This window comes from Homo sapiens, chromosome 15, assembly GCF_000001405.40.
Source record: "Homo sapiens chromosome 15, GRCh38.p14 Primary Assembly".
NCBI lineage: Eukaryota > Metazoa > Chordata > Mammalia > Primates > Hominidae > Homo > Homo sapiens.
The window spans coordinates 46,719,993-46,735,174 of record NC_000015.10 but is presented as its reverse complement, the minus strand read 5'-3'; the positions used below and the strand labels follow the sequence as shown (position 1 = coordinate 46,735,174).

At 34.5% G+C, this 15,182-nt stretch overlaps 1 pseudogene, besides 1 other annotated feature; it reads left to right on the top strand.

Moving 5' to 3' along the window:
• Nucleotides 1,114-1,703: an enhancer, noted in NCBI's record as "OCT4-NANOG hESC enhancer chr15:47025670-47026259 (GRCh37/hg19 assembly coordinates)". NCBI's record gives its function as "activates a minimal SCP1, AML or CMV promoter by ChIP-STARR-seq in naive H9 embryonic stem cells {active_cell/tissue: H9 hESC(naive)}" and the evidence as "EXISTENCE:reporter gene assay evidence [ECO:0000049][PMID:30033119]".
• RN7SKP101 (RN7SK pseudogene 101) lies at nt 14,663-14,982 on the top strand (annotated as a pseudogene).

Sequence of the window (15,182 nt, the reverse complement as noted above, 5' to 3'; positions counted from 1 at the left end):
GACTTCAGTTTGAGAAAAATTTTCAGAACATCTTGGAAAGGGATATGAAGGTTAGACTGTGGAGATCATGGAAATGTGTGGCCCAGAATCTTCCTGATGAGAACACAGTGGTATCTCTGAGCTTTCAAAGAAGGCATGCTTTTTCCTCACTGTTCCCAACCAATGACTGCACATGGCAGGCAGGGAACTAGTGGTGTCCATTCCTGCAGAAGAGGGCTGCCTCTCACAGGCAACATTGACTTGATATGTCCCCTCAGTTGAAAGATCCTGAGAACTATGCTTTGGTCTGAGACTTTTCCCACCTGGCACTATTTACTGACCTCTCCTTCCAGTTATTAAACCTATATTGCTTAGTCTGAAAGTTTCCCCGCCTACTCCTGCCCTTCATCTTCATCTTTCAACTGGTGTTTCCTTCAGTTAATTTCCTGTATATCTAAGCTTATCTTGTCAGGTGCCTTTCAAGGGACATGATATCACAAAATTTTGGCGTAATTTTTTTTAATAAAAGGAAGAGAAAACTGTGTTTAAATTAAAGATAGATGCAGTTGGAAAGGGGCTTAAAATATATTCATTTTCATATTGTTTGTGGGATGTTATAGGACTTTCCATTGAGCTAATCTGATTTTTTTAAATGGCATTTTTGTTTTTTTTCCCCCTGGGAAAACACATATAAAGCATATATACACTGATGTTAAAAGAATAAAAATGCAGGACTTAAAAGCTACAAAATAAAATTAACCCATTATCTTATTATCATTAAATCTTTCTACATTTTCAAGTCTTTTGCTTATGTCTTTGAATTTTTTTCTAAACTAGGATTCAATTAAACAAGTGTTTTTGATCTTTTTCTTTTCTATTAATTTTACATTCTTAACATTTTCCAATGTCACTGAATAATGGCATATATTTTTAATTGATAACATATTTATACTTAGGATCTTCTAACAATTTGTCCTTTTATCCCTGTTTTCATTCCTAGTTACCATTCTGGACAAAAGGTGCAAGTAGAAGGGGATTGTAAAATTAATAAAAATTATCAGAATATAACATACTGATTAATTTTTGGTGTTGGAGGAAGAAAGCTTCAGGGGTAGTTCTGAAAGACAAAAGATCTTCAATGTCCTTCCCTCCTTTATATTTCCAGTGATCTAAGAGGCTCAACCTCCTCTCCCCAACACCCATGATGCCAAGTTGTTGCTGGCATTGATGATCTTTTGTCTTTCAGAGCTACCTCTGAAGCTTTCCTCCCCAAGGAAAATGCCCTGCTGACATGCTTTCAAATTGTAGCAAGTATCTTAAATATAACTGATTGCTGTGTCTACTGTTCCTCAGCAGATAGCTCTGATCATGAGTTGATTACCGTTTTCCTTAACTTTACTGAGAAGGCTATCAGAAACAGCAGAAATGGCTTCAGTTTCTTTGTCATGCAGATCACCTCTGGATGTTTTTTGCATCTTTAAACTCAGCAATTGTATGAGCAAACAAATGTCACCCAACTGGTGGTGTGATGAAAACAGCACAGACTAAACCAGCTGCTGTCAGGAAGTCCCTCCCAAAACAAAACCTAGCCTCAATTATTTGAACTGAATTGGGAACCCTAAGGCCTACCAGTCAGTTGGGACACCATATTGGAGATGCTATCAACTTGTACATCTCTCAACTGACATAGAAACCACTTGGGAGAATTATAAACAACATTTTCTTTCCAGGGGGAACACATGTGCCCTTGAGGTTTTACATTTTTGTAAAGAATCCAAGGAGCAATTCCCTCCAGAAAATACAGTGATTGTTTCTTTCCTTGGCCCCGGGAGGCATTGAGGGCAGCCCATTGGTTGGGCTTGTAATAGGTGATAGAATTGCCCTAGACTTCCTCTTGTAGCTTAATATAAATTCCATGCAATTCTCAGTACTTCCTACTGTGTTTAGATTAATGTCCCAGGCCAAGAGGAAAAGTCAGTACAGAAATATAATGAGAAAGACCCTTGGTTTTCCAAGATTAATGGTTTATGGGATTCATTCAGCCAGGACCCTGGGAGATATGCTTGAGGTCAATACTATTTCACTTCTTATCATAGGTTATTCTCAAGTATTAAAGTATTTGACAGGTGCATATTTATATACACAGCTTAGAGTACAACAACTTAAGGGTGTTTGATAGCCTGAACATAATCTTTTGGGTTGCTAATAATCAGATCTCTTGGGATTATAAGATTTAATTTTTTCTATTGGAAGATACCACTGTATCTGGGCTGGGTGTTGGCTGACATCCTTCTGTGTGATGTAAATCCTGAACTGAGTTGTGCTATGGCTGTGTCTGGATATCTACCTGGCAGTGGTGCTCACATGGCAAGGAAATCACAGTTGCCTCAAAAGGTGATAGCTTTTCGTTTGGAATAGTGACTCCTTTAAATTAGGGACTTCATAGATGAAGATGTACTCTCAAATAGTACAAATCTCTAGCTCTCAAAGTGCTTCTAAGTGATGAATTATGCTTTCAAGCTTTTTTATTTTTTATTTTTTGCTATCCTTTCCCTGTAAAACGAAGCCTTGTCAGTTGGGTTCTACCAATATTTCATGGAGCTGCTTTTTAAGGACTACGTTTTTGGGTCTTCAATGTTTTCTCCATTTTTTTTCAATTCCATAATAATTCATATGGGGTTCTAGGCAGGAGAAAGGGATTATCAAGTTGTTTGTTATTAAATGATTGTCTTAACCAGAACTGTGGTGCTCCCCTATGAATCACACCATATCTCTGCATATTACAGTGGATGTGAAAGAAGCAGGTGGAATATAAAGTCCTGTGAAGTGGTATCATATGTGTGTAAAGACCCTGCCAACATGACTCTTCACTTATTCTGTTAATGGTGTGCTATTCCAGATCTCTAGAGGGCTGCTGAAGCAAGACTTATCAGTGTCATGACCAGATTCAGTGAACCAAAAACCACAACACATGTTCTATTGAAAGAGTGTTGTACCATTTCCAGATGTTCACAATTTTCATAACTACTACTTATTGACACTTCATCCTTGTCTGCTTCTATAATAATCATAGTACCTATCATAAATTTTCACCCTCCGTAACACTTTGTGGTACACATATTTTGGTCCCTGTTTTTTACATAAAGGAGCAAGCTCAGAAATAAGTCACTTATTCAAATCATGCAGCTTGGAAAGGGTAGAACTAAGACTTGAATCAGAAATTCTCTGGCTTTCAAATCCATTCAATTTTTACAACATTCTATGAAGAAATACACAAACAATTAATAAGCTAGTCACAGATCTCACTTTATAGTTCATACCCATTGTGGCAAGTATTTGTATTGTAACTAAGAAAACTACCAAATACACATACTCATACCCTGAAAAAAAGACAAAAGGAGTACAGCAAATGATTAAAACAGAAGAAAAACGATGAAATTGTTGAAATTGTTGGATATGTACTCATTAATCCAAGTATCTGTAAATTGGTTATTCTAGAGGCACACGATCAATTAGGAGCTTCATAAATCTTAAGTAATGGCAACATAATTTTTATAGTTTGGGAAACAAGCTTAAAAATCACGAGCTTATAGTAGTTTACCTTTATGTCAGTGATTTGAAAGACTAAATAAACTAAATTAAGCTATGGTTTGAATGTGTCTCTCCAAAATTCATATTGAAACTTAATGCAATAGTATTAAGAGGTGGGGCCTTTAGGTGGTTATTAGGTTGTGAGGACTTTGCCCTTATGAATTGAATTAGTATCATTGTAAAAAGGCATGAGGGAATCTGTTAGTTCTTTTTGCCCTTTTTGCCCTTATGTTCCTTTTGCCATATGAGCACACAGTGTTTGAGCCTTCTGCCATATGGGGATGCATATTGGAAGCAGAGAGCAAGCCTCACCTGATGTGAAATCTGCTGGTGCCTTGATCTTGCACTTCCCAGTCTCCAGAACTGTAAGAAATAAAACGTCTGCTCTTTATAAGTTACTCAGCCTAAGGTATTTTATTATAGCATCAGGGATAGGTTATGACAGTTACTAAAAGCAGAAGTAGTAGAATTATTTGGCAACAACAGGACTAGCAAAAAAACTAGACAAGTGTTTTGTAGTCTTGGATGCCCAACTAAACATTATAATTATTTTTTAACTTTTCTGGTTTAGATTGATCTCAGAGTCTGAACCCTCCTTCAGTCTTTTATTTGTAGTATTCATGGAAATTTCTGCTGCTTAAGATATGTAAATATTGACATTCTGAGGTGAAGACAAAACTATTTCATTAATTTTGCATGACAGCTAAAAATACTCGTGAACTTCAAGACTAGACTTCAGCAATTTTTATTTGAATTAAAGAGAGTAGAAGCACAACATGTAAAATAATTAATAAGAATTTTTTGTAAGACAAAGAACACTAATATAAGGTACATAAAATTAAAGATTTAGTGACTAAGCAACACAGAAATGAAAGGATTCCTCCAGGGATGTAAATGAGAACTCTGTACCTGCAGCTTCCAAAACTTTGAATGCTGCCAAAAATTGATCACATCAGAATCAACTAAGTAACAGTATTAGTTGAATCCTATGTAAGTTGTGCCCTTTAATAATTGCTCAGTTTAGATTTAAAGTTCTAGGCTTTTGGTAGGGGAGAGTGGCTAAGTGTATTTGTACATTTGGTGCTATGGTAATTGCTTGATACGATCATATTTGGGTATATTACTAACCTAATTCAAATAGTAAAAATGTAAATTTATGCCTTCAGAACAATTTTTAGAACATTGAGCCTTTATAATCTTATATAATGTCTGTTTTTCATTTTATAGATGAGGATAGTGTGATTCAGAAAGAACTAACATTTTATATCTTGAAAAGGAAAAATCAAATTTGCCTATTTTAGTTGCCACCCCAAAATTTCTTCTAATTCACCTAATTGACCAACAAATATTATTCTATCATTGTTTTCATATTTTTATGAGGAATATCTTATAAAATGCTCATAATGTGTTCTTAAGCAAGTTTCTAAATTGCAAGTACATTGATAAGACCACAAGAGTAACGTTAGACTGGTAAGCCTGACGAACCAGAGTGTATTTTAATTTATATTATGAGTTAAAACACTATCTCTTTAGAAACTGATGCTTCTGAGCGAGTCACAGGATGACATCAGAAAGATGGCAGAATATAAAGTCTCAGGCTTCACTTTCCCCACCAACAGAAAGTTCAACCACCAACTATAAACAGACCAGAACATCCTTCTGAAAACTTCAGTACTTGGAAACAGGCCTGAGAACTTGTGTGGTCTACAGAACTGAAGGAAATTAAAATTAACAGGGTAAAAAGAATGGTCTCACTCATATAATGCCACCCCTCCTCCTCCCCCAAGTTGGCACAACACCAGACAGGAGGATTTTCTTGGGCCCATGGTTTTCCCTACAGGGGAAAAAGAGAACCAGAGGTAGTCATGCAGCTTCCTTGGCACTACAAGACACTTCCTTGGACTCCAAGTCTGATCTCACCACATGGGGAATTGTAGGGAAAATGGCATGGCTAGACTGCTTGGCAACAAGTAGAAACAAAGAAAGGACACAGAGGTAATAGTAACCAGTGCATAGATCTTGGTGGTACCTCTCTGTTTCTGCCAATGGCAGCACATGATCATATTTACCAGCCAGCCTCATGGCCCGCTTGCAAAGCTGAGCTGGTTGCCTTCAGAAACACGATGGGGAGTTCAACCTAGCTTGAGTCCCAAGACTGCTTGTCTCCATGTACAGTCTAAGACCCCACCCCAACAACACCTCACATTTAGGAGGATGCTTGCCTCCACTCATTTCAGAAAAGCATAGGGGCTAGACCTACTTGACTTTCCAAGTCAAGCAGGAGATTCACTTAGCCAAAAAGCCTATGCAGTGACCCTGCAGGCAGGGAGACACTTACTTTCAATCATTTCAGAGAAGTAGTGGGGGCTAGACAGGCTTGACAAGGAAGTCAAGCAGAGGATCCATTCAGCCAAAAAGCCCTCCCAACAACCACTCCCAGGCAGGGACATTCCCACCTCTGTGCACTTTGAAAAAAAATGTAGGGTCTAAGCCTGCTTTACTTAGGAATTCAAACAGCCAATCAACTCAACCAAAAGCTCACCCCACAGCTCTACCCTGATAGGGAGACAATTTCCAATTATGCATTCCCTGGGAGGATAATATCTGGTTCTTCCTGTCCCAAGCAGTAACTCTGCCCAGCTTTGGAGTCCAGCTTGCAGACCTGCCCAGCTGTAGATCCCAAATAGTAGAATTGCCTGGCCAGGCAATACATCCTTTCACTGGCCTGAACAGAAGTCATCACAGTACTGAGTCAGCTACTCTGCCTTACAGCAGAACACAGCCAGTGGTCTCACCAGACACTGAAGCCCAGTTAGCAGTTCTACCCAACATCAAAGCAAAGGCAGCAGCCCAGGCAACTAGAGGACTCACAACAAGCTGTGCCTGCTTGGGGTTGTCACCAGCTGTCTCTTCCCAAATCACAGGCTAAATTAAATAGTGAAGATCTATCCCTGTCCAAAAGACACCAGTAAAGGCCACAAGTCCTAAAATGCATAAACAATGCAAGGATACAAAGATTACAAAGAATAAGGGAACATGACACCCCCAAAAGAAATAAAGCTTCAATAATAGAACCCAAAGAAATGGAAATCTATGAAATGACTGATGAATAAGTCAGAATAATACTCAAAAAGAAGTCGAGTGAACTACAAAGATATATGTATCATATGTTAATAGAATTTGGAAAACAATACATGAACAAAGCAAGAAGTTTGACAAAAAAGTAGAAACTATAAAAAAGAACCAGATAGAAATCCTAGAGATGAAGAATGCAGTAACTGAACTGAAAAATTCAACAGAAAGCTTCAGTAGCAGACTTAATCAAGCAGAAGCTGGAAGGCAGAATATTTGAAATTATCCATTCAGGGGAACAAAAAGACAAAAGAATAAAAAAGAATAAAGAAACCCTATAGGAATTATAAGACAACCTCAAGAAACTAAACTTTCACATAATAGTAGTTTTAGAAGAAGAAATAGAAAAGGTCTAGAAAGCATATTTAAAGAAATAATGACTGAAAACTTCTCTAATTTGGGGAAAGATGCCAACAGCTGTGGACAGGAAGCAGGTTTCCAATCAAATTCAACCTAAAGAGGAGTTCACCAAGACACATAATAATCAAAATATCAAAAATCAAAAACAAAAAATTCTGAGAAGAGCAGATAAGAAACACATTATCTATAAAGAAAAATCAATACAACTATCAGCGGAGTTCTTAGCAAAAAAGAAAAAAATCTTGACAACTAAAAATACTTTATCCAATAAATCAGCCTTTTGGAAATGAGAAAAAAATAGAAACTTTCTTAGACAAATAAAAGCTAATAGAATTAATTAACACTAAACCTGCCTTACAGGAATTGCTAAAGGGAGTTATCCAAACTGAAACAAAAATTGTGAATTAATAACATGAAACATATGAAAGTGAAAAATCAATGATATAAGTTAAACAAATGCACACCCAGAATACTCTAGGACTGTAATGATGGTGACTAAGACAATTTTATCCCTAATGAGAGGTTTAAAGAGAAAATTATTAATAACAACTATATCTAAAATAAATTGTCAAGGGATACACAGTACAACATGATATAAATTCTGAAACCAAAACATAAAACATGGAGAAGGCTGGTGTAAAAATGTCGAGTTTTTGTATTCTATGAAAGTTCATATGTTATCAGCTGGAAATAGACTATTGTAAGATGTTCTATATAAGCCACATTGTAACTATAAAGCAAAAATCTGTAGTAAAAGCACAAAAAAAGATAAAAGATTCAAAGCATATTACTACAAAAATCCATCAAACCACAAAGGAAGAAACACAAGAGAAAACAAGGAGCAAAATATCTACAAAACAACCAAAAAACAACTAACAATATGGCAGTAGTCTTTACCTATAAATAATTACCTTGAATGTAAATGGATTAAATTATCCAATATAAAACACAGAAGTACTGAATGGATAAACGAAAATAAGACTCAATTAAATGCTGCCTACAAGAAACTCACCTCACTTTTAACAAGACACAAACTGAAAGTGAAGAAATGGAAAAAGATATTTTATGGAAATAAAAACCAAAAGACATCAAGGTTAGCTATGCTTATTTCCAACAAAATGACTTTAAGTCAAAAACTGTTTTAAAAAAAGACAAAGAGGGACATTATAAAGTGTCAGTTCAGCAAGAGAACATAACAATTGTAAATATATAGAGAGAGTAAATCACTTTAAATTGTTGAAAAGTTCTCAGAATTTTTCATGGTAATAAAACAGTGTGTAATGAAAATAATTTTACCATATGTTAATTGACATAAACAAGAGTTAACTTCCCATGGCATATTTCCGATCAAAAGCACACCAACAAGCTTCTAAATAAAGACCCACAGCACTTCTAATGTTAAATATTGAAGTAAATGTAAGCCACACAAATATTCATGAAATATCATTAAATCAGATAATGAAATTATTACCCAATTTTTAGTGCATCAGTGAGTGACAGTGTTGATAGTGGTGGTGTGTTAATTCAAGGAATAAATGTTTACAAAGAAAAAATCATAAGTACCTCTTATAAGAAAAATAAAACCATAAGAATTACCCCTTCTGGGTCCCCACATATCTTTGGCTTAGTACATATTTGCACATGTATGGGAAAAAATTACTCAACGTCCTGAAAAAAAACATGAAAGGCAAGAAATCAAACAATTTCTGAAGCTTGAACGGGTAAACAATTGCTCATGTTAGCACCAGACAGAATGGAAAGACCTCATAAAATATGCGACATTTGGTGGAGCTCCCAGAAAAGTTTTCATGACTCAACTTTTCCACTTCCAGGTATATACCTCCCCAAAACTGAAAACATAAGTTCACATAAACACTTGTATATTAATGTAACAGCATTATTCATAACAACCAAAAAGTAGAAACAGCCTATATGTCCATCATCTGATGAAAGGATAAACAAGATATGGTTTACACATGTGTTGAAATATTATTCATAAAAAGGGATAACATTCCAATATATGCTACAATACAGATGAACCTTGAACATATACTATATGAAAGAAGCCAGAAATAAAAGCCCACATATTCTGTGCTTATTACATGTAATATCCAAAGCAGTCAAATCTGCTTAGACAGAAAATAGGTAAATAGTTGCCTGAGGCTAGGAATAAAAAGATGTGTGGAATACTTCATGATATGGGGTATTCAGTTTCTTTTTGGGAGGGTGAAAATTTTATTGAATGAGACAGTAGTGGTGGTTGTATATGCTTGTGAATAAAAACCACAGAATTGTGTACCTTAAAGAGTAAATTTTATAGTACATAAATTATCTCAATAAAAAGAAAAGATACTGCATGAATAGTTGGACTAGATTAGCTCTAGACTAAAGGAACCACTGGCTCACCCTAACAAAGCTTAACAATAGCCTTGGATTATAGCCTGGCAAGGAGATCAGAAAATTGCTTTTCCACAAAAGCAAACTTGGGCGACATCAACGAGAACAATCATTTTAGTGCTCAAGAGAAATAAATGAAAGGAATCAATAATATAAAAAGTGTTTATGCTTTAACAACTGTTGAATTTCAGTAGAGAAGAATGGAACACTATAATGTTCTGGCCTTTGATTGCTTCCCATTTCTGGCTGTTTGGTACAGAGGTTCACCCAGGGTCGAGCAGGTGATGAGTGTGGCAGATCTCTTCTGCCTTCAAAGAACTGACCTGATTTAGAGCAGTGGACAATGCTCATGTTCTGTGAAATTATCAGTGAAAGTGTCTATCAGTAGAGTCAGGTAAATTCAGAGGAGCCAATGGTTCAGATCTATTAGGCTGAGATTGTGGGAGTGGTTGGGATATGCATGCACAGCCCAGAAATAAAAGACCAAGCTATTCAAACACACCCCTATCCAATACTGAAACTGAAGACATGTGATAAGAGGCTCACAAAAGCCCAGCTTCAAGTAAAACTCGGAGCACATTTCAAGATAAGCTGAAGTTTAAATGCACACCTTTGCCTAAAGACAGCTCCATTAGCAGAGAAGCCTTACTGGTTCAAGGCATTTAAGAAGAATTTTTGTCCATTTATTGGCTGAACATTAAATGACATGGACATGGAGAAAATGCTTAGGAAGACTTTTAGGTCTTAGGAGGCTTTAAAAGTAAAAACTAGGAAATAAGCTGAGCAGAAATATCAGAGATCACAGAATGTAGGATATACAGATTTTCACAGATTTATTTCATGTAAGCAATTAAGCAAAAACAAGAAAAAGCAACAATAGTCTTTGAGGGGTTGGGGAATCAGAATCCATAGTTGCTATAATATGTTACCTAAAATGTTCAATTTTAAATGAAAAATATGAGACAGGGAAAATATCAGGAAAATATGATCTATAGTATGGGGAGAAAAAAGACCATAAAAACCGTATCTGAGTATGTCCAGATGTTAAATTTGACAGACAAAAACTTCTAAGCAGCTAGAACTGAAGGAAATCATGTTACAAGAATTATAAGAAGGTAATAATAAGTAATCAATAAAGAATCTCAATAAGTATGTAGAAAATATGAAAAGGAACGATGGAAATTTGAGAGTGGAAGAGTAAAATAACTAAAACAAAGAATTAGCTAGAGGGGCTCAATAGCCGAGTAAAGGTAGCAGAGGAAAAAAATAATCAGTGAACCTGAGGATAAATCAATAGAAATCATCTCCAATCTAAGTAAGAGAGATAACAGATTTTGAAAATATCTCAACTTGATCTGTACATGTAATACAGTTCCTATAAAAAACTCCTTCTGAAATCTTTATGAAAAGTCTTTAGAATAGCTAAAACAATCTTCACAATTGAATAATAAAGTGAAAAGAATCACATTCATCTATATTAAAGGCTTATTATATAGTTACAGCAATTAAGAGTGTGATATTGGCAAAGAGACAGAGAAAGATAAACAGAGCTGATTAGAGAACCTAGAAATAGATCCAAACAAATAAGCCCAGCTGATTTTTGAAAGAGATGAAAAAATCAATTCAATGGAACAAGGATAGACTTTTCAACAAATGATATCAGAGCATTAGACATCAATAGGCACCCCCATCCCCTGCCCAAATAAAATAAACCTCAACATAATCCTTACACTTTATATAAAAATTTAACTCAAAAGGATAATAGACTTTTGAGTCTATTAAGTGTAAAATACACTTATATACTTATATAGTCTATAAGTGTAAAATATAAGGATATAATAAAAAAACAGTAAATCTTCAGGACTAGGCTAGGCAAATAATTCTTAATACCAAAACTATGACCCATAAAATTAAAATTTGATGACTTGAACTTTGTAACAATGAAAAACTTGTGCCCTGTGAAACCATGTGAAGAGGGAAATAAAGACAACTCATAAGCTGGGAGGCAATATTTGCAACCTGAATACCTGGAAATATCTAAAACGTATAAAAACTCTAAGAACTCAATAGGAATAAAACTAATAATCCAATTAGAAAATGGCCAAAAGATATGAAGAGATATTTTACTGATGAAGACATACAGATGGCAAGTGAGCACGCAAATAGATGTTCAGCACCATTAGTCATAAGGAAAATGCAAATTAAAAAACCACAATGAGATACTACTACATATTATTAGAATAAAAAAAGATAGTGACAACACCAGATGCTGTCAAGGATTTGGAGAAAATGTATCATTCATAAACTGCTGGTGTGAATGTAAAATGGTATAGCTAATCTTAGAAATAGTTTGGCAGTTTCTTATACAGTTAAACCTGCAATTACTGTATGACATAACTATTACATTCCTGGGCATTTATCTGAGAGTAATGAAAACTTAGGTTCACACCTAAACATGTAATGAATGTTTATAGCAGCTTTATTAGTAAGAACTGCAAACTGAAATCATACCATGTATCCTTCAATAGCTGTCTGGTTAAACAAACTGTTTGCAGTAAATCCAAACTACGGAATACTACTCAGTAATAACAAGGAACACACTTATTTAATACATGCAACAAGTGGAATGATTCTCTAGGGAATTACGCCAAGTGAAAAAAAAGCCAATCTCAAGCATTATGCCCTGTGTAATTCAATTTTTATAACATTTTTCAAGTGGCACAATTCTAGGAATGGTGAATGGATTAATAGTTGCCAGGGACTAAAGTGGGAGTGGGAGTGGAAAAGGGAGAAAAATGAGTGTGGAGTAATGGGGCAACATGAGACATTCTTGTGGTAATGAGAACATTTGCATCTTGACTGTATTATCAATATCAATATGTTGGTTGTAATATTATAATATAGTTTTGCAAGATGTTACCATTGCAAGAAACTGAATAAAGGATATATGTGATCTCAGGCTGCACATTGTAAGGGAAATGCACTTCATGGAACTAGTCTAGCCAAGTCACTAAACAAACACACAATAACCACAATCTTTAGGGGAGTGTGGTTTATATTCAGAAAACAATAGCAAAAGAATTGAGATTTCAAAAATAATTTTGAGGCATGAAGAAAAATATTAGTAGTATATATCCTATAACAGAAAAAAATCAAGGAATGAAAACATCTTTTGAGAAGATTCACATTTTGGGCTTAGCAAACAATGACTTCAAAGCAGATATTATAAGTGAGTTAAAAGAACTAATAGCCTACATAAAAATTAAAGGGAAGTATGATAACCATGTCTCACTATATAAACATTAATTAATAGATTAAAAATTATATAAATGAGCTAAATAGAAATTCTAGAGTTGAAAATTACCATAATAGAAATAAAAAATATAAGATGTGCTCAATAGCAGATTTGAAGTGGCAGGAAAAAAATCAGTGAGCTTGAAGACAGGTCAATTAAGATGATCTAGTCTAAAAAACAAAAAAAAGAAGAAAAAAAAACGTGAATACTTCAGACCTGTGGGACCCATCAAGTGTAACTATATATACATAAAGCACGTTAAAAAATAAGAGAAAAAGAGAGAGACATAAAAAATTGTGAAGAAATAATGACCAAAACCTTTACAACTTTTTGGGAAGATCTTAATAGGCATATCCAAGAAGCTCAAGGAACTCCAAAAGATAAATTCAAAGAGACTGACACCTAGATGCATCATAATGAAAATGCCAAAAGCCAGAGACAAAGAACGTACCTTGAAATAGCAAAATAAAAATAACTAATTTTGTGCCAGTCTTTCCCAATAAAATTAGCAACTCACTTCTCATCAGAAATGGATTCGAGAAGTTCGTAGGTTGATACATTGAGTGATGAAAGATTGTCAACCAATAATTGTACATCTGTTACAACTATTCATCAAAACAAAGTTAAAATTAAGACATTTATAGATAAAAGCAAAAGCAAGATAATTTGTCATTAGCAGACCTCCCCTATAAGAAATAATAAAATCTTTCAGGCTGAAATGAAGGGCTATTAATAATTCAAACCCGCAAGAAGAAATAACACTGGTAAAAGTAAATACACATTTAATTTTTGTAACATATTTCTTCTCCTACCTTACTGAAAATACAAGTGCATTAAGCAATAGCTATAAAACAGTTATAAACCATCCAGCCTTTTAATGTGTAAATATTTAATTTGCATAAAATGATAGTACAAAAAAGAAGGAACAGAGCTATAGTCAAAGTTTCTACATACCATTGAAATTAAGTTGGTACTGTTTTACGAAAAGTTGTTACTTGTAATCTACCAGCCAATAAATTGGAAAATACCTCAAAACAAATAGTAAAAGAAAAAAACAAGAGAATTAAGATGATCTATAAGAGCATATCTCTTTGACACAACAGAAGGCAGTAAGGAAAGAATAGAGGATCAAGAAAGAAATAAGGCACACAGAAAACAAGTAGCAAGATGGAAGATACAAATCCTATTGTAACAGTAATTGAATTAATGTAAATGGACTAAACTCTTAAAGCAGATTGGAAAAATGAATTAAATAAAACCCTATAATTAAAATACATATTGTCTATAAGAGAAATGCTTTAGATTCAGAGACACAAATAGGTAGAAAGAAAAAGGAAGAAAAAAGACATACCATGTAAACAGTACACAGATAATTTGATTGGCTATATGTAGACAAAATAGATTTAGATAATATTTTTGTCTTGAAAAAATAATTTATGATAGTAAAATATTTAATTCATCAAATAGGTGTAACAATTATAAATATATACACATCTAACAGCAAAGTCCCAAATACAGGAGACAAAAACTGGAATAATTTAGTGATTCAAAAATAATATTAATAAAATAATTTCATTTATAATAGAATAAAATATAAATATTTAGGAATATATTTAGCAAACTACTGCAAGAGTTTGCATTGTTAATTATAAAACATTGCTGAAAGAAATTTAAAAAGAACTAAATAATTAGACAAGCCATATTCATGGCTTGGAAGAGTAAATATTTTAGAATTGTAATGCTCTCCAAATTGATGTTGAGAATTACTGCAATCCGTATCAAGATGCCAAATGCTTTTCTTTGTTTGTAGAAGTAGACAAATACATATTGAATTCATATGAAACTGCAAGAGACCTAGAATAGTTAAAAAAAAAAAATTCAGAAGGAAAGAACAAAGTTGGATGACTCAGATGTGAGGGTGACCTGCATGTGACATCTGTCACCTAATTGATGGCCAAGGTTAATTCAACTGACAGAGCTGGTTAGGTAGGTGTTCCCTTCCTCCCACACCACTCCATGTGTGCCCCTCCCAAAGCTGAGGCCTTGGTCAAAGAGGACGACCTTCCTCAATAGAGGAAAACCATTCTTCCATTGAAGGTATACAAGTAGCAGAACTCCCAGCTAGAATCTCCAAAGCAGCTCTCAAAATTGGAGGACTCAAACTTCCTGATATCAAAACTTATGACAAAGCTACAGTAATCACTATAGTGTAGTACTGGCTTACAGATATAGATCACTGGAATATAATTGAAAATTCTGAAGTAAACCCTGACATTATGGTCATTTGATTTCCACAAAGGTACTTATATAATACAGTGGAGAGAGAATAGTTTTCAACAAATCATGCCAGGAAAAGTAAACATTGAAAAAGAATGAAGTTGGACCCCTACCTCAAACTACATACAGAATTTAACTCACAGCACATTAG